Source organism: Homo sapiens, chromosome X, assembly GCF_000001405.40.
Source record: "Homo sapiens chromosome X, GRCh38.p14 Primary Assembly".
Taxonomy (NCBI): domain Eukaryota; kingdom Metazoa; phylum Chordata; class Mammalia; order Primates; family Hominidae; genus Homo; species Homo sapiens.
In genome coordinates this window covers 47,555,381-47,573,827 of record NC_000023.11, presented here as the reverse complement: position 1 = coordinate 47,573,827, position 18,447 = coordinate 47,555,381, and the positions used below count along the sequence as shown (strand labels likewise).

The 18,447-nt window shown below is 49.8% G+C and overlaps 2 protein-coding genes and 1 long non-coding RNA gene across 6 annotated transcripts in view, besides 3 other annotated features; 2 read left to right on the top strand and 1 right to left on the bottom strand.

Annotated features, from left to right (window-relative positions):
* SYN1 (synapsin I) overlaps positions 1 to 1,927 on the top strand; it is a 47,957-nt gene extending 46,030 nt beyond the window's left edge. The window contains exon 13 of one of the 2 annotated variants that reach the window (NM_133499.2): positions 867 to 1,927. In NM_133499.2, coding sequence (NP_598006.1) covers positions 867 to 894 — 28 coding nt within the window. In that variant the 3' untranslated portion in view covers positions 895 to 1,927. Of the gene's footprint in view, positions 1 to 828 lie in introns of both variants that reach the window. The other variant, NM_006950.3, reaches the window with a different exon arrangement.
* On the bottom strand, positions 1,920 to 12,623 carry ARAF (A-Raf proto-oncogene, serine/threonine kinase). Of its 3 annotated transcripts, none has more exons than NM_001256196.2 (16): positions 12,577 to 12,623; positions 10,765 to 10,919; positions 10,499 to 10,602; positions 8,929 to 9,031; positions 8,689 to 8,843; positions 8,478 to 8,585; positions 7,048 to 7,189; positions 6,917 to 6,944; positions 6,697 to 6,842; positions 6,396 to 6,598; positions 4,934 to 5,110; positions 4,795 to 4,841; positions 4,171 to 4,289; positions 3,804 to 3,935; positions 2,816 to 2,950; positions 1,920 to 2,505 (listed from the first exon to the last, which is right to left on the bottom strand). In NM_001256196.2, the coding sequence occupies exons 2-16, from the start codon at positions 10,858 to 10,860 to the stop codon at positions 2,371 to 2,373; spliced, it is 1,830 nt and encodes a 609-aa protein (NP_001243125.1). In that variant the 5' UTR covers positions 10,861 to 10,919; positions 12,577 to 12,623; the 3' UTR covers positions 1,920 to 2,370. The 3 variants fall into 3 exon arrangements, with proteins under 3 accessions (NP_001243125.1, NP_001645.1, NP_001243126.1); NM_001654.5 differs by having other exon boundaries at positions 8,478 to 8,576; NM_001256197.2 differs by lacking the exons at positions 1,920 to 2,505; positions 2,816 to 2,950; positions 3,804 to 3,935; ... (5 more) ...; positions 6,917 to 6,944; positions 7,048 to 7,189 and having other exon boundaries at positions 7,853 to 8,576.
* Positions 9,704 to 9,998: an enhancer, noted in NCBI's record as "tiled region #4668; K562 Activating DNase matched - State 5:Enh". NCBI's record gives its function as "activates a minimal TATA promoter and a strong SV40 promoter by Sharpr-MPRA in K562 cells {active_cell/tissue: K562}" and the evidence as "EXISTENCE:reporter gene assay evidence [ECO:0000049][PMID:27701403]".
* Positions 12,257 to 12,556: a silencer, noted in NCBI's record as "silent region_20807". NCBI's record gives its function as "represses an Ori minimal core promoter by ATAC-STARR-seq in GM12878 lymphoblastoid cells {active_cell/tissue: GM12878}" and the evidence as "EXISTENCE:reporter gene assay evidence [ECO:0000049][PMID:35858748]".
* On the top strand, positions 12,389 to 17,892 carry LOC124905184 (uncharacterized). Its single transcript, XR_007068225.1, has 2 exons — positions 12,389 to 12,744; positions 15,281 to 17,892. It is a non-coding gene; the product is annotated as an uncharacterized LOC124905184 (long non-coding RNA).
* Positions 17,281 to 17,782: an enhancer, noted in NCBI's record as "H3K27ac hESC enhancer chrX:47415445-47415946 (GRCh37/hg19 assembly coordinates)". NCBI's record gives its function as "activates a minimal SCP1, AML or CMV promoter by ChIP-STARR-seq in primed H9 embryonic stem cells {active_cell/tissue: H9 hESC(primed)}" and the evidence as "EXISTENCE:reporter gene assay evidence [ECO:0000049][PMID:30033119]".
* Positions 17,893 to 18,447: the final 555 nt, after the last annotated feature.

Below are 18,447 nucleotides of genomic sequence, written 5' to 3'. Positions count from 1 at the left end.
CAGAGGCTCCGCACCCCCACCCCAGGAATTTGGTGCCAGAATCCCAGAGAAACTGCACTCAGTTCGAATTCCTCCTCAAAGGCCCTGGGAAAGTTTCCTCCTCCAGGGCCTCCCAGGCACCTGGCTGACCCACCCTCTGCAACTTCCTGCCCAGCCCAGAGCCTTCCCTGCCAAACTCGCCCCCCCGCCACCAACCCATCCCTAAAACTCCTGGCCCGAGTCCTAGTCCTCCTATCATCTGGCTCTTCCCACTCCATCCTCATACTTTTCCTCCTCCTTCACATCCTTCTGGCCCATCTCAGTCTCCCCGCGAATCATCACCCATCTGCCTTTTCTGGTCCATTCCAACTCCCATCCCAGCTCAGACGTCCTCCCTGCCCCACCCAGCTGCTCTGCCTTAGGCTGACTTGCCCAACAGCCTGTCCTTGGTCCAAGCCCTTTCTATGCCCTCCTAGACACCTCACCCTTAGATTGGAAACTTCCCTGCTCATCTTCCCCTTTGTATCAAACTAGCCAAGAATTCACAGAGAAGGTTCTGCCCAGGACTCTTGCCACGAATCCCACACTTCACCCTGGATCCAAGTCCTCCCAGCCTGTCCCAGATCTCGCCTCCCTGGCCCAGGACTCCACCCACTCCACCTGAGTGCTCCCAGCCTTGAGAACCTGTTAGGGTCCAGGCCCATGGTGGCAGGTGGGGAGGTCACAGGCACAGCCCCAGGATCAGAGGGGCAGGGCTGGGGCTGGGCCTGGGGTAACGTTGTGTTTCTCTCCCCTTCCTCCCCTTCCTCTTCCCCCTTCCTCCCACGCCTCCACCTTGTCTCTCTCTAGCAAATCCCAGTCTCTGACCAATGCCTTCAACCTTCCAGAGCCAGCCCCGCCCAGGCCCAGCCTTAGCCAGGACGAGGTGAAAGCTGAGACCATCCGCAGCCTGAGGAAGTCTTTCGCCAGCCTCTTCTCCGACTGATACCCCACTCTGAGAACCCCAAAATCCCTGGGCAACCCTTCTCTGGGCCCTGAATCCATTTCTCACTTTTGGAGTCTCCAAATCCCTTGAGAACCCATCTCCCGGTTCTCCAAGATTCCACCTCTCATTCCTCAAGATCCCCGAGTACCTTGAGAAACCTGACTCCTCCTGGCCCTAAATCCGGTTCTCACATGTGGAATCCCCAAGTCCTTTTAGAACCCCACTCGTGGTCACTTCAGGATCTACTTCTGTTTTAGAACCTCCACATTCCTGAAGACCTCCGCCCCTGGTTTCCCCAGAGGGCGTTTTCCTTCCTGGAAGTGCCCAAATACCAGGCAACCCATTGCAGAATCCCTTCCTGGAGCCCTGAAGTTCCTGGAAAACCCTATTTTTGGTCCCAAATCTCTCCAGCACACCTATTTCCCATCATAATTTTCCAAATCCTCAAGAAACCCCTACTGTTGAGCCCCTTCCCATGGATCTTCCATCCCTCTGAAGATCCACATCTTCAAATGCCACCCAACACCTAGCCCCACAAGGATTTCCCTTCACCAGCTCCCCTCAACCTCATTCAATACCTTGGGAGCCCCTCCCACTTCCAGGACCCCTCGGTTCCCCCAGGGACCCCCTCCCCAGTTTCCTGCCTCTGACAGCTGTCTTTAAATATGCAAACTCCACCCATCTTCCCAGAATCCTTTGCACACGGAAGGCCAGTGGTCTCCGCTTCCCCACCTTTGCTGTGGTGTCTGTGTCTGTGACTGACGTGGCCTCCTTTTGTGCCGTGCTTGGCATATGTGGTCCTCGTTCATCGTGCCGCCTGTGGTGATGCGTGCAGTGACGCTGTTTATGTGGTCCGCACCTCCCCCTGACCTTCACTCCTTGCCTGGACTCACCCCACCCCTCAGCGGCTCTGAACCCCAAGAGAAGAGTCGGGAAACAAAATAAACAAGCAAAGGCCCAGCAGAATTCTGTGCTTCTTGGTGAAGAAAGAGAGGAGTCCTTGAATGGCGGGGGAGACACAAAAGGGACCCCCCAAAATCCACATGGGGTGCTGGGAACCCCAAAATCCAGTGGAAGGCACATCAGGCACAAATTCCAGAGAGGTTCTGAGTGGAATCCCTGCCACAAATCCCAGCCATTGGAGATGGAGGAGCTCCCAAAATTTAGAAGTATCCCCAAAGCCAAGAGGAAACCAAATGATGGAGGAGACAGGGGGCTCAGTCTTTGGCGGGGGTCCCCCAATTCCAGAAGAACTGGAAAAGCACATGGGGACCCCCTCATCTCCCAGGGTGGGGAATGGGGGATCCTGAGGCAGCATCAGGGCAGAGACGAACATTGATTGGCTGGTGGGCAAGGCTCCTTGGCGTGGAGGGCTGAGATTGGCTCCCTGGTGGCTTGGGCGGGGCCTAAGGCACAAGGCGGGCTGCGCTGAGTAGGCAGGCAGGCAACTCATCGGCCTGGGTGCGGTGCAAGGAGGGTTCCGAGGCACTCCGCTCAATCTTGGGGAGTGACCGTTGCAGCAGCTCAATTGTGGCCAGGATCTGAGGGCAGGTGGGGGTGAGGAGGGGTGTCCAGAGCCCTGTGGGCATCCCAACAGCCCCAGCCTCATGGCGAAACACACACACACACACACACACACACACACACACACCCAACAGTCCCAGCCTCATGGCGAAACACACATACACACACACCCCCAACAGTCCCAGCCTCATGGTGAAACACACACACACACACACACACACACACACACTATACCTCTGAGCTTTCATATTCACATCTGCCTCCATCTCAGTCTTCCTCTATCCCAGAGTCACCCACCCAAGGTGTCCAGCCCCCTACCCAGCCCACCTGGGGGAAGAGGGGCCGCTCCTCCCGCTGGAACTTGAGGCAGTCAGACAGCAGGCGCCGCATGGCCTTGGGGCAGTTGCTGGAGATTTTGCTGAGGTCCGGGGACAGATAGCCACGGCCCACCATAAAGATAATCTGGGGGCAGACGGGGGCAGGAAAGGGGTGATCTGGGGTCAGGGGCTGGGAGGCCCAAGGAATTTTGTATTGAGGGACTTGGAAGGTTCATTTTTAGCGAGCTGGGGTACTGTCAGTATCAAGGCCCAGAGGATTCTCTGTCCTTGAGGACTTGGGAGGATTCTCTGCTTTCAGAACAGAGGGATTTAAATTTGGGGTTGTCAAGGATTGTAGGTATCTGGGGCTCAGAGGATTATAGGCCCACGGGTTTCTAGGAGGCTTAGGGACCTGGAAAGTACTGAGTCTCGGGAAAACATGGAGTTCTGGGTCTGGGGGAGCTTGTACTTCTGTGGGGGTCTGGGGCCTAGAGGGTTCTAGGTATCCCGGCCCTGGGGCCTGCTAGATACCCAAGGCCTAGGTGACTGTGGGTGTCCATGACTATTCCAGAAGCACAAAGGGGTTCTGTTTCTGGGGAAAAATGGGATGCTGGGAGAAATGAGATCTGGGCTTTGAGGATCTGGGGGATTTTGAGTACCCAGAGCAGACGACTATAGGCGTCTAGGGATACAGAGGGCTTTGGGGTATTTGGGGGCCTCAGGGGATTCTAGGTATAGAGATTCGGGGCATTTTGGACTTCAAAGATTTTTGTCCCAGAGGGCTGTGGATGTGAGAAGAGGGAAGTTGGGGTAGGGGAGACCCAGAGAATTTATTGTAAGTGTCTGGAGCCCAAGGGATTCTGGGAGTCCTTATCCTAGAAAATTTTAGGTTTCTGGGGAAAGTGTGGCATTTATCAGTGCAAAGGAGGGGATGTGGGGTATGGATGCCTGAGGGGATCCCTCAGCCCAGGGAACTGTGGGTAAGGTGTGGGGCTCACCTGGTCACGGCAGCCAATGTGGCTGTAAGGCAGTGAGCCAGTCATAAGCTCGTAGAGCACAACCCCGTAGGCATAGACGTCTGACTGGAAGCTGTAGGGGTTCGGGTCCTGCATACGGATCACCTCAGCTGCCTACAACAGGCCAGACCAGGCAGGGGGACCACGGAGGTCAGCAAATGGCTGGTCCACAGTCCCAGATCCCACTGGCCACACAGGGTACAACTCAGAGCCACCCACACGAGGTGGGACATGAGGAGTCCAGACACCCACATCTGGCACAGGCATCCCCGTCCCCACTTGGCCCCACACACCCCAATCCCGGAGCCCACGTCCCCATGTGCCCCCCATCCAGCCTGGCCCAACTCACCATCCACAGCACAGATCCTGAGGGCTGCTCCAAGGGCTGGGCCCCGCTCCATCGAGTCTTCACTGTGGCCAAGCCAAAGTCACCGATCTTCACCGTGAGCCCCTCATGTAGGAAGATGTCCGCCAGGGTCAAGGACCACTACAGGGACTCCTAATAGCCATGCCTCTCACCCTGCCTGGGAGGTTCCCATTGGTGCCCCTATACCACTCATCCCTCTGATCCTGACCAGGAGCCCCTTAATATCACGCAAACTATCCACAACCTTGACGTGGGCAGGGAACGCCTGCTAATGCCCCCCACACTCAGCCCCGCTGTGACTCCTGAACAGGAAGCCCCTCGGAGGGCATCCGAACCCACTATGCCTCTGATGTTGACCATAATGCCCTCCACAACTGTCAGACATCAGACTCTAACCAGAGTCCCCAAGAATAGTACCTGAACCAGCCACACCTCTGACTTCTAAGAGACTGCCATTAAAGCCCCCTGGCTGGCCACAGCTCTGCCACCTGGCAAGGAGCTCTGGGACACATGCCCCTCCCTTGTAATTCCCAGAACCCCCACAAGAGGCATCCTTCTAAGCCCTTGACACCCCCACTCAACCCCAGCCCAGGGACAGATAGATACTGTTAGACTTGAGATCTCGGTGGATGATGTTCTTGGCATGGAGGTAGCTGTGGGGGTGGAGGCAGGTGGCGGATTGGCTGGGGGTTACCTCATTTCCCCCACCCTTTCCCCCCACCCCTCCCCAGGCTGGGAGGCTCACTCCATGCCCTGGGCAGTCTGCCGGGCCACGTCGATGAGCTGGACCATGTCGAAGCGTGTGTCGGCCACATGCAGGTGATGGTAGAGGCTGGAGCCCTCACACCACTGTGTGATGATGGCAAATCCCGGCCGGGTCATGAAGCCCATAAACAGCAAGATGTTGACATGTCGCGTCTTCCTGCAGGCAGGGAGGGCAGTGTCAGAGGTGGGGAGGAAAAATAGCAACTGTCACTTACCGAGCATCAGGAGTGGCACTGTTCTTTACCTTCCTCGGTCATTTATTTTCACCCTGTCTTTTGGGGCACTCAGGACCAAAGCATTGCCAGATTCCATGAATTTGTGAGATGTGTTTACTGGGCTATGATTCTGTGCTGTGGGCTCATATGTGGAGCTTCCCCATCCGAGTCTCCCAACAAAAGCAGGAGGGAGGAATTGCTGCCCCTCCCCCTCCCTGCCTACAGCAGCATTTCTAATCATTAACATCCCCCACCCCTCTGACTCTGACCATTACCTGGGTCTGTGACCATCTCACAGATGAGAAAGCAGAATGCCAACCTTCCTCACTGATGTATCAATATAATATGGATAGATGCAGGATTAAAACATTGGTGATATATGATGATTAGAGCCTGTTCAGCAGCATGAGAAGCTTAGAGGTAAAGAGCTTGGAGTCTGGACTCATGTTCAAATCTAGGCCTCACCAGGTACTCAAGGTACAACCTTGGGAAAGACATTTAACCTCTCTGGGCCTCATGTTCCTCAACTGTAAAACTGATCATTGCATTAGCTACCTTATTCTCTGTAACATAATTGTGCCCATCTGACACAGAGGAAAAGCCAATGCCAACATCCCCAGGGTTGGTAGACGCTATCCAGTACTACCTGTAGTATATAGGTATACAGTACTATGCTACATAGTAACTATAGCAGCAAAAAGGAGACACCTGGCTTTCTTAGCGTGACTAGATGAATACTGTATTGATTACATATTACAGCAATTATAATAATTAAGCAATGATTAGATTATGGTGATGATGATAATATTGTTTAAATCAAGGTATTAGAATTAATGAATAACAAGAACCAACACTATAAACAGAACATTACCATTGTAGCCCAAGCAGAGGGGAAGGAAAGATGGAAGCCTTCCTGGCAATGCAGTAACAAGAATGGTGGCCCACACACAGACCCAGTTCGCAGCAGGCAAATGAGAAGACCCACATTTTGGAGGCAGAACCATTCATTAATAACCCAAACACAAACAACTGCATGATCACAGGTCCTCTAAACATACTCATTTCCCAGAGGGGAAAGGGACACCCTTCAGAGAGAAACAACTTCTGATGATGGTTTAACAACACAAACACAGGTGATGTCCAGGAAGCACTCCAAGCATGGCCTTTTCCCAGAGAGATGCCAAGGCCGGGCCTGCCACCCCCATCCACGCACACATGCCACCTCACCTGAGCACCTGCATCTCATTCTTGAAAGCCTGGGCCTGCTCAGCTGTGGGCTGGGACACCTTGAGCACCTTCACGGCCACATCGCCATGCCACCGCCCTCGAAACACGGTGCCAAACGAGCCCGTCCCGATCCTCTTCAGCAGCTGCACCTCACTGGGTGGTACCTCCCAGTAATAGCCTGAGTCCCGGTACCCCAGGTTCTTCTGTGGGCCAGATGGGTGGCATCTAAGAGGCCTGCCCACATCCCTCATCCCACGTCACTCAGCCTTGGTGGCCCCAAAAGGATCCCCCTCGAGCATACCACTTTCTTCTTGTCATCGGCCAAGGACTTCCGCTCGCGCTGCTCTGCTGGTGACTTGGAATGTGGGGACTTCCTCCCCGAGGACACGCTGGCTGGGCTGGGGCTCCCCCGGGGGGTTCCATCACTACCTCCTCTACTACCGGCAGCTGCAGTTGCAGAGAGGATGTGAGTGGAGGTAAGTGGGGCAGCGGGGGTCAGGGTGCAGGCACAGGGGACTCACCATCAGTGCTGAAACTCTGGCCAGTGAGCTAGAAGAAGAGGGACAGGAGTCAAAAAGAGGGCATGGAGGCCAACAGGGATGGCTCTACCCTCTGCCCTGTGGTCCCCGGCATTGTCCCCCACAGCACCAACCTGGATGAGGTTGGAGTCCATGGGGGCCGTGGTGCTGACCATATGGACGTTGGGAGTGGACGTGGAGCGGATGCGCTGTAGGGGGGCATTGGCTGGGGCAGGGAAGGGGAAGTGCTCCGGGTCACAGTGCTGGGTGCGGGGGCTGCCAGGGGAAAGGCTGTGAAATCACTGCCAGGAATCAGAGAACCGAGAAAGCCCCCCACCCCACCCCCAGCCATAAACATGCATTTGGCTCACACAGAGCGAATGTCCACTGGCAGTACTATTATTCATTGCTTCAAGAAACATTTATTGAGTGCCTGCTGTGTGCCAGATACCATTCTAGGTGGTGGAGATAAAACTGTAAAACAAAATAACAGTTCTTGCCCTGGTGGGGCTGAAATAAAAAACAAATATATAATATGCCTGATGGTGATAGGTGCAATAAAGAAAAATAGTAAAGCAAAATAAGGAGACACAAAGTGTTCCTAGAAAGTGTCAGGAAAGGTTTCTCTGAGGAGGAGATGACAATGGAGTAAACGCCTAAAGGCAGGATAGCAGGCCACACAGATAGTGGGGAAAGGGTAATGTATCATATTTTATAATTATATATTATAATTACATGTACTTTTCAAATGTTATATAATATGTATCATCTATATAAAAATGGCAATGTTTTAAAATATACATATTACCATATTGTTATACATACATGTTATACATATGATATATGCTAAACATATTGTAAAGTTACAAAAATATGTTAATGTTCCCTTCACTATCCTGAAATGAAACTCAAAGGTAATTAATGCACATACACTCATAATTTAAAATAATACCCTAACTTTATTTTATGTATCATATAAACATGTATGATGTTCTACATTATATAAAATTATGTAATACAACATGATACAATAACATAAATATACCATAAAATATGCACATCATAAAATATATATTAGAGCAATAATATATTTTAATATAGCTATAGTTTTATATAATATTTAACATAAAAAAGCAATAAAAGGGAAGTAATTTATGATAAAATAATACGTATTTCAAAATGGAAAGGCTTGAGTATGATTATACTAGAATTAGCAAAGTAGTTAGATGCTTATAAATATATTTATAATTAATAACAAAAAAATTGATTATTTACACTGTACCAGATCCTGTTCTAGGCACTGAACATGTCTTAACTCATTTAAGCCTCACCAGAACCTTTATATGGTAGAAAGTATCATCATCCCCTCTTTACAGATGAGAAAACTGAGGCCCAGAGAAATGAGGTGACTTGCCCAAGGTCCCAGTTTCATGCCCTTACTCACACTTGTAGGTGCTCAATAAATGTTTGTCAAGTAAACAAATGAATAAAGTATGGCTCGTGGTCTACAAGAGCCCCAAGATCTTTTTCTCCCCCAGCAGCTCTTCAGCTAAGGCATCCCTACCTGGGACCCTGGGGGGTTAGCAACTCATTCAGGGGGCGGTTCGAGGGAGCCTCATGCTGTCTGGAGCCTCCGGACAAATCCTGGACACTGTGGTAGAACCTTGAGGGCATGAAGGGTATAAAGCAAGGGGACACGGGTCAGCTGTCTGTAAGGGCCTCGTGGCTGGGCCTCTGTGCTCCCCATCCCCCCACCCACCCCAGGCTGGGCTCACTGTTGGCGGTTGGTACTCATGTCAACACAGACTGTGGGGACCTTGGAGGAACAATGCTGGTGGAACTTGTAGCCACAGGTTTGGCAACGGAAGCCATGGAACAGAAACTTAAGGCAGAAGTCACAGAACGCCAGGCTGAAGAAGGTCTTCCGTACCTGATGCCACAGAGCAGGGAAGTTTGAGACCTGGTCAAGGACACCCCCAACCATGGTCCACCCCCACCGTCCACCCTGCACTCACAAAATTGTGCATGGTCAGCGGGACATCTTCAAGGACCTCGACAATGAGCTCCTCGCCATCCAGGGGAGCAATGGCTGTGTCCCAGGCAGTGACCGTCTTTCGTCTGCAGGGGGCATGGAAAGGAATGAGTGGGAGGTTGGGTAGGGGCCATGGGGAGGCAGGGAACCCCCACAAGTCCCTCCAAGCCTGCTACCCACAGGGTCATGTCTGGCATGTTTAATTCTCATCACAGCAACTCTAGAAATTAGTCACTATCCTTGCCCCAACTTTACAGATGGGGAAACAGGCTCAGAGGGATAAAGTGACTGGCCCTGGGCCACAAGGGTAATGAGAGGCATGACGGTGTGAAGAGTCCATGCTCTGAAACGGAAGGGGAGAAGCAAATGAAACTAAACAACTACATCTTAGAAGCGCTAAGCCAGCCCCTGAAAAGGGGGCTGAGGAGGCACTGAAACAACAAATAAAGTGCAGTGTGTGAACTGCATCATAAATTAAGGAAACCCACGAGAGAGGAATAAATAAAGTCAGCAAGACCCAACTCAGCAGACAGAGAATGGGGAAAATGAGGAAGAAGAGACCTGATGAAGTCATGACATCGTGAAAGGACAAAATAGATGAAATCTGGGCAGAAGTGATGGACCAGGGTGAGGACTTGGGGGCCAGGGGAGAATGAGTTGCTGACCTTACAGGCCAATAAACCAATGAAGTAACAAAACAAAAGATGGATGAACTCATAGATTACTTGAACTACAGTAGTCCTCCCTTATCTGTGGTTTCACTCTCCATGGTTTCAGTTACCTGTGGTCAACCGGGTGGGAAAGTATTAAATTGAAAATTGCAGAAATAAACAATTCATAAGTTTTAAATTACGTGCATTCTGAGTAGCGTGATGAAATCCTGCACCATCCCACCCAGGATGTGAATCACCTCTTTATCTAGCAGATCCACACTGTCTACGCTACCGCCCATCACTTAGTAGCCTGCTCAGTTATCAAACAACTGACTCAATATCATAGTGGCTGTCTTCAAGTGACCGCCATTTTACTTAATAATGGCCCAAAAGCACAAGAGTAGTGTTGGTGGCAATTCGGACATGCCAAAGAGAAGCTGTAATGTGCTTCCTTTAAGCAAAAAGGTAAAAGTTCTTGACTTAAAAGAAAATCATATGCTGAGGTTGCTGAGATCTACTGTAAGAAAGAATCTTCCATCTTTGGAATTGTGAAGAAGGAAAAATAAATTCATGCTAGTTTTGATGTCATACCTCAAACTGCAAAAGTGATGGCCGGAGTGCATGATACGTGCTTAGTTAAGACGGAAAAGGCATTACATTTATGGGTAGAAGACAAGAATAGAAACATGTTCCGACTGATAGCAATTGGGTTCGGTACTATCTATGGTTTCAAGCATCCACTGGGGGTCTTGGAACATGTACCCTGCAGATAAGGGGGGACTAAAGACTAAGGGAAGACTAATGGAAGACTCTGTGATAAAGTACAGAAGGAATCAAATGACTGAGGAGGGGATGGGAGGTGGGACACCCAGTGGGTGGGCGTGGGGCTGCCACACTCACCCCTTGATGAGTCGGTAGACCACACAGCAGTCCTGATTTAGACCCCGCACCTTCAGGGCCTTGTCTAGAGAGTCGTAGACACTCATGCCATCCCGGACAGTCACCTGTGTGTATGTGCAGATGTAGGGGTCCTCAATGCCCAACAGAAGCGCAGCTGATGTTCCCATCCTTCTGCAAAGGCCTCCCCCAACCGTTGTCACCCTTTTGATCCCAGAGTTACAACTGGGTCCATCCACAGCCCCTGCCATTTCGCTTCCATGACTCACCACCGTGCGTTGCTTGTTGGGCAGGTATACTTTGACGGTGCCCACTGCCCGGGATGGCTCGGCCCCATTGGCAGGGGGGCCCCGTGGTGGCTCCATGGAGCCTTAGATTTTGTCAAGATGGGCTGAGGTGGGGCTGGGCAGGTGCCATGGGGCTCCTACAAGAAGGCAGACAAGAATTCAGAGGTCCAATAATGATAGTCTAGAAGCAAAGTGGCAGGGGACAAAATAAAATTCAAAGTCCAGGCTCCTGTCGCCCCCTGCAGCCTAATTTTCACACGACAGTCCAAGAGATCCTGCTCACATCTGAAGTCCTTCCAGTTCCTTCTCTGCTCAGGCCCTCCTGTTGCTTGTCTCACTCTTGAGTGCCAAGGTCTCAGCTTCACTGCACAGGGTTGCGGGGGAGAGAACAGGGAAGGGGGACAGAGCATACTGTCTTGGAGGGTAGAGGAGCACACAAGACTCTGTGCTGGGGACCAATGGGGAAGTCAGTACACACTGCACTGAGCCGTCAGGTACATAAGAAGCACGAACAGAATGTCCTGGGTTTTTTTTTTTTTTTTTTCTGTTTTTTTTTTTTTCTGACAGAGTTTCGCTCTTGTTGCCCAGGCTGGAGTGCAATGGCATGGTCTCAGCTCACTGCAACCTCCACCTCCCAAGTTGAAGCCATTCTCCCGCCTCAGCCTCCTGAGTAGCTGGAACTACAGGCGTGTGCCACCACGCCCGGCTAATTTTTTGTATTTTTAGTAGAGACGGGGTTTCACCATGTTGGCCAGGCTGGTCTCGAACTCCTGACCTCAGATGATCCACCCGCCTCAGCCTCCCAAAGTGTCCTGGTTTTTTAACAGAGAACGGGGGAAATGCCAGTTACTGTGGTGAGGGAGGAGTCGCAGGCACGGTGATGGGAAAGAGAGGATTATCAGATACTGCCCTTAGTTTGGGGAAGATGGAGGTTGCACCAAACATGTCCTTAAAGGGCACTGTGGACATCCCTAAGCCCTGGGGTGTAATGTTGATGTTAGGACCACAGACACCGTTGTTAGGTGGCTAATGGAAGTCCCAAGCCTCTATGATGAGGAATTCATGGGGGGGGGGGGTCACTACATACTATGCGGAAGGGAGATGTAACAGGCGTCACTAGGGACTGTAATGGGGAGAAGGGTGGAAATGGAAATGACCAGACATTGAGCCGAACTGGGGAGGTAATGGTGGACCACCAGACATTGTCATAGCAAAAGGAGAAGGAAGGTATGGTGTTGCGGGGAGAAAAATGGAGGTAAAGAGGGAGCTCCAAAATTCTCCTTGACAACCTGTGAGGGGTCACAGGCATATTACTGGTCTAAACTGAATGAGGGATCATGGAAGGCGGTTACAGAGGCGAGAATCCTGACATTCTCCCGGCGGGGGCGGTCAGACACTGATCCAGAATAAGGAAACCGGGGAGTGAACCGCGTTTCCACACACTCCCCGCAGTTGGTAAGGAAAGGTCATTGGACACCTTAGCGGGGGTTAAGACGGAATCCCGGCACCACTCGGTCGGGTCCCGCCTACCAAAGGGCTTCCGGCTCTGCGCAGGCGCACCACCACTAGCAGCGGGCGAAACCATCACCCGCAGCCTTGCCCGCCTATTCCTGTTACCCACCCCACCCCCGCTGTCGACGATGGTCTCGCCCCGGGTCAAACCACTCCTCCGGTTCCGGGCAGGGAACGCCGGGGCCCAGGCGCAGCCATCCTGGAGCTGAGCTTTCGGTCCGGGCTCCCTGCCCGTGCCCGGCAGCCGCTCCAGAAACCGAGCCCTCCCGGGCCCGCCCTCACCTGTCACGCCGCTACAGCCGCCGCCGTCTCCATCTTGGGCCTCTCTTCTTGTTTCCTCACAGAGTCCGCCTCCGTCGCCTCTCGGACTCTCGTTATTGGCTCTGCGGGACTCAGCCTTCCACCCTTATTGGGTCAGGGTCACGTCTGTCAAGGCAAGACCAACGGAATGTGAGTCGTGTTCCGGATTAGGAGGGGCCGCCTGAAACGTCAAGATCTGGGGCAAGCGCTCGTCCTGACTCGCGCAGGCGCAGTTGAGGCAAGACCTGCGTGCCTAGGGCTTTAACCCCAACAGTGGCATAGACGTATAAAGCAGAACACAGGTCATTTGGGGCTGACCTTAGGGCTTTGGCATCTGGGCGGAGAAATCCTTAAGTACCCTTTTTGGGCCAGTGCCCTAAGCACCCTTTTATGATTTTCCCGTGTCTCAGTTTTTACCATCTTTGAAATGGGTTGGAATCAGAACCAATGATCGGCGATGTTCACCAGCTCTAGGAGACTGTAGTTCATAGCCTTTGAGGACAGCGGGTCTCTGGTGTGGCGGGGGCTGGGGGACTGGGCCTAGGAGGGGCGGCCTGCTGTCTGGGAGGCTTCCTTTAGGAATGGGGTTGATTAGGACTATGAAAAACTAGTCACAGGTGGCCAGGTGAAGAGGGAAGTGCGGACCTGGAAGGGAGCACGATGCCAGTCAATGTGTGGAGGTATTGTGGGGTAAACACAAATTTTTAAAGATCGAATTTTCCCTGGTGTCAAAAGAGAAAGACGTCTCTCTTAGAGCATTTCCTTTAGAAAACTTGTAACTGTAAAATTTTCTCTGTCCCTTTGAGATGTATGTAAGTCCTTTTAAAAGCTAAATCTCTTGCCAGTTTTACATCCCCGGAATGTTTTTCTTAAGAGCCTTGTAGCCATCTCTTTGAAATGTAAACATCAATGAAAATAGCACCCCTGTCTTTCCCTGTCTTCGTGGGAATTTGATCTGCGTGCCTGGCTTCAAGTTATTACCTGCTTGTCATAGAGATATGAGTTTTCGTTTTCCTTTGGATAAAGGCAATTAACTAACACAGATAGCCACCCTAATTACCAGGTGAATTTGGGATGAAGTATGTGTACCAAATGGTGCCGTCAAGTTTCTTGAGCACAAGTTATTGTTTGAGAATATGTTTGTAATGGGCTGTATCTGCCTGCTACATAAACGGATGAGATTTCTTTCTGTCTTTGAAACCTCTTTAGCAGATTGTTTGTGATGTGCATCACAGTCTGGTGTAATGCTTATTCAGTTATAAAACTTTCCATTCCTGCCGGGTGCGGTGACTGATGCCTGTAATCCCAGCACTTTGGGAGGCCAAGGCGGGCGGATCACTTGAGGCCAGGAGTTCGAGACCAGCCTGGCCAACATGGCAAAACCCCGTCTTTACTAAAAATGCAAAAAAAAAAAGTCAGCTGGGCGCGGTGGCGCGCGCCTGTAATCCCAGCTACCTAGAATGCTGAGGCAGGAGAATCACTTGAACCCAGGAGACAGAGATTGCAGTGAGCTGAGATCACGCCACTTGCCACTTGCACTCCAGCCTGGGTGACAGAGTGACCCTGTCTCAATAAAACAAAAAACAAAAAAAAACTTTTCATTCTTGTCTACTTTGTGGAGAGGATTCATTGGGTTGGCACGAGATTCTCTTTTTAATTATTTCCCCAACACCATGAATGGCCTGTTGTGTTTCAAGTGACTGCATTCTCCTGTTTGGAGATTTAGCATCCTTTGGCAATGTAATGGGAAAGATCAGAGGAAGGTCATAGGTGAGGGGGGGCCTCAACATATTTCAATCTGTATTTATCACATGGCTTTCTCTGTCTATAAGAAGGAAGACAGAAGTTCTGCCTACTGGCCTCCCATATAATTTCCATTTCCCAACTCCCCTTTTCTTTTCTTTTCTTTTCTTTCTTTTTTTTTTTTTTTTTTTTTTTTGAGACAGAGCCTTGCTCTGTCACCCAGGCTGGAGTACAGTGGCAAGATCTTGGCTCACTGCAACCTCCGCCTCCTGGGTTCAAGTGATTCTCCTGCCTCAGCCTCCTGAGTAGCTGGGACTACAGGCGCCCACGACCATGCCTGGCTAATTTTTATATTTTTAGTAGAGACGGGATTTCACTATGTTGGCCAGGCTGCTCTGAAACTCCTGACCTCAAGTGATCTGCCCACCTCGGCCTCCCAAAGTGCTGGGATTACAGGCTTGAGCCACCACACCTGGCCCCAACTCCACTTTTCTATTCGGATCTTCACCATTTAATGGCTAAAAAAATTTTTTTTTTTTTTTTAGAGACAGGATCTCACTATGTTGCCCAGGCTGGTGTCGAGCTCCTGGCCTCGTTCTCCCAACACTCTAGGATTACAGGCATGAGCCACCATGCCCAACTCCAATGGATAAAATTAAAAAGACTGACAATACTATGTATTGATGATAATGTAGAGCAATTGGAACTTTCATACATTGCTATTGGGAGTGTAAAGTGGCACAAGCACTTTAGAAACAGTTTGGCAGTTTCATATAAAATTAAACATAGACCTGCCATGCAATCAATCCAGCAATCTCACTCCTAGGTATTTACTCTAGAGAAATGAAAACACATGTCCAATGGTGTGCTGGTAAATGTTTGACAACCAACGCTCCAGGAAGAAAACAGCTCTAATTTGTACTGTCCCCATGGCTTATTTCAGGCTACCAATATGACAGTCGCTGAACCAGATTTAAAAGAGATGCACAAAATCCGCTCTGGTGAGCCAGCTACAACATGCTACTATTACAATATGTCTGCACAAAAACTTGTATGCAAATGTTCAGATTAGCTTTTTCTTAATAGCAAAAAACTGGAAACAGCCCAGGTGTCCAGAAACAGAACTGACAAAAAAATACAACAATGGGATTATGGAATACTACTCAGCAATGAAAGGGAATAAATTACTGACATATAGGAAGAGCATAGATGAATCTCGTAGACATGGGGCAAAATGAAAAAAGCCAGACACAAAAGAGAAATACTGTATTCCACCCATATGAAATCTAAACCAGGCAAAACTAATCTATAGTGAAGGAAATCACATTAGATGTTGTTTTGAGGGAGAATGACTGAGAAGTGCATTAAAGAACTTTTGCAGGTGATTGGAATGTTCTGTATGCATTTGTCAGAACTCATTGAACTCTATTTTTATTATTATCTTTTTTTATTTTTGAGACAGAGTCTGGCTCTGTCACCCAGACTGGAGTGCAGTGGCACGGTCATGGCTCACTGCGCCTTGACCTCCTGGGCTTAAGTAATTCTCCCACCTCGGCCTCCCAAGTAGCTGGGATTACAGGCATGCACCACCACACTCAGCTAATTTTTAAAATTTTCTGTGTAGATGGAGTCTCACTATGTTGCCCAGGCTGTTCTTAAACTCCTGGGCTCAAGTGATCCTCCCACCTCGGCCTCCCAAAGTGCTGGGATTACAGGCATGAGCCACCTTGCCCAGCCTCATTGAACTCTACACTGAAAATGGATATATTTTGCTTTATGTGTAATATACCAGAATAAGAACTGCATGGCAAAAAAAAAAAAAAAGAAGAAGGCCACAAACATAATTCTAAACATTTGTTTCTTAGAAATTCTTATTGGTTAGAGAAATTATTTTGAAAAAATTCTTTTTTCTGAAATTAAATCCCTAGACCCTGAATCTCCATCTCCCACTGCAGGAGCCCTGGCAAACACCTCAGTGCCAGTGGGGTCAGGAACAACTCCTGTTTGGAGCTCAGTGAGGGGCTTTGGGGAGGGGAATAGGGGAGTGCATTTTACATTTCAATTCACTTAAATATTTAATTTGTTTAAAAACTTTAATTTCTAGGCAGTATTTGAAGACAGACCTCTGGCTCCATCGTTCAACGTTTACAAAAAGATGAGAAAAATGCCAGCAAAAGCTCATTGCTTTTGCAGGATGGGGGAAGGAGGGGAAGGGTAGGGGACATAGCCCACTCAAAGGCAATGCTTTCTCCCCCAAGGACTCATAGACTCACTTCACACCCATCTCAACTGGCACTTCAGCCAAGTACCTTACAGGTACCTGACACTTTAAAGCATGAAGTCCTTTAAAGTGATTTAGGTTTGGTTTTCTTTTGTTTTGCGACAGAGTCTCGCTCTGTCACCCAGGCTGGAGTGCAGTGGTGCAATCACAGCTCACTGCGGCCTCGACCTCCTGGGCTCAAGCCATCTTCCCAGAAAGCTGGGACCACAGACGCATGTCACAGCGCCTGGCCTTTTTGACTTTTTGTCATTATCATCACCACCATATTTAAACCATTAGAAGTACCATGTATTAAGACAAAAATTAAAACCCAAACTAGTTGATTATAGTTTTCTGACATCCCCCTTGTAATTATCCATCTGGAAAAAAATGTAAAGTTATCAAAGTACTTGTTGGTTTTTATTGTTGTTCATTTTAAAGTCTCAGAAATATGTCTGAAAATTTTTTAAAATCTGAAGTGTTCACCGACTGCCGTTGTAATGCTACTTTTATAGCTGAGGACATTAAGGTTCAGGCTGCCCTAACCAGAGGGGAAAAGGAGAGAGTGCTCCAGGACTTCGTTTGATAAAAAGTGTTTAACAAGGGTGCGGGCCATGGGCACCTCCTTAAGGAATCCCAGATCCACCCAGCAGTCCTGCGTGCCTGGGGACCTCCTCTAAAACGTGCGACTCTCATTTTCCAAAGCCGCCGACCTCACCGGCCCCTGCTGCGGCCTGGAGAGCGCCATCTCTGGGACCCCCTCCCACCGCCGTCCTCTCAGCTGTTCATTTCGGGGGAGTTGACCGTGCATGCACATTTCTCTGAGACCGGGAACACAGGTTTGACTCAGGCCCCTCAACCACCAGCTCCTCTCTGCCAACCCAGGGAGCCTCTCTCCGCAACAGGCCCCCCCCAACAGGCAGCGAGATCTGCCAATAGCAGTGCAGTAGAAGGCGGGCCTTGGGATACCCTGGGCATTGATAGGCTCTACTTCACCACGGAGCCACTGACAGACCAATAGCTATGCACAGGAGGTGGCCAATGGGAGGTGTGTGGGCCTGAGACCGGCTACAAACAAGGAACTTAATGTTGCTTTTAAATCAGTGATGAGGCAACAGTAATTGTTCCATCGAAATCCTTAATAAAAGTAGAGTGTGGAAGTTTCCACTTCTGTACATTCCTAGAAGGGATTTTTAATATACAACCCTGGGGGGAGAGGTGTAGGAAATTTACAAGTAAGTGAATTTAACCATGACTTTTTAACTGTTCTTATTAAAAAGTCTTTCTTAGCAAAATTCATTGAGTAGTAATTTCAATTTGCTATCCCTATGAAAAACACACCATTTAACAGACAGAGTTTTGGGGGTTTTTTTGTGTTTTTTTTTTTTTTGTTTTGTTTGTTTGTTTGTTTTTGGAAACAGAGTCTCGCTCTGTCGCCCAGGCTGGAGTACAGTGGCGAGATCTCGGCTCAGTGCAAGCTCTGCCTCCCGGGTTCACAGCATTCTCCTGCCTCAGCCTCCCGAGTAGCTGGGACTACAGCGTGCGCCACCACGCCCGGTTAATATTTTGTATTTTAGTGAGACGGGGTTTCACCATGTTGCCCAGGCTAGTCTCGAACTCCTGAGCTCAGGCAATATGCCTACCTTGGCCTCACAAAGTGCTAGGATTACAGGCGTGAGCCAGCACGCCCGGCCTGTTTAATTATTTTTTTTAAGTTCATTATATGTTATATAGGGTACCTCCATATTTTCATAAAATTAAACAAAAGTGCAGGCTGACTTTGGGAGGCCGAGGCGGGTGGATCACGAGGTCAGGAGATCGAGACCATCCTGGCTAACACAGGTGAAACC

Bases quoted from the DNA above. Each gene is read 5' to 3' on its own strand.
- ARAF (NM_001256196.2), bottom strand. From the start codon at position 10,860: ATGGAGCCACCACGGGGCCCCCCTGCCAATGGGGCCGAGCCATCCCGG. The intron at 8,586-8,688 runs GTGAGCCCAGCC...TATACCCTTCAT, and splicing joins ATGAGTACCAACCGCCAACA to GCCCTCAAGGTTCTACCACA. The intron at 3,936-4,170 runs GTGAGTTGGGCC...GGCCTGTTGTAG, and splicing joins CAGGATCTGTGCTGTGGATG to GCAGCTGAGGTGATCCGTAT.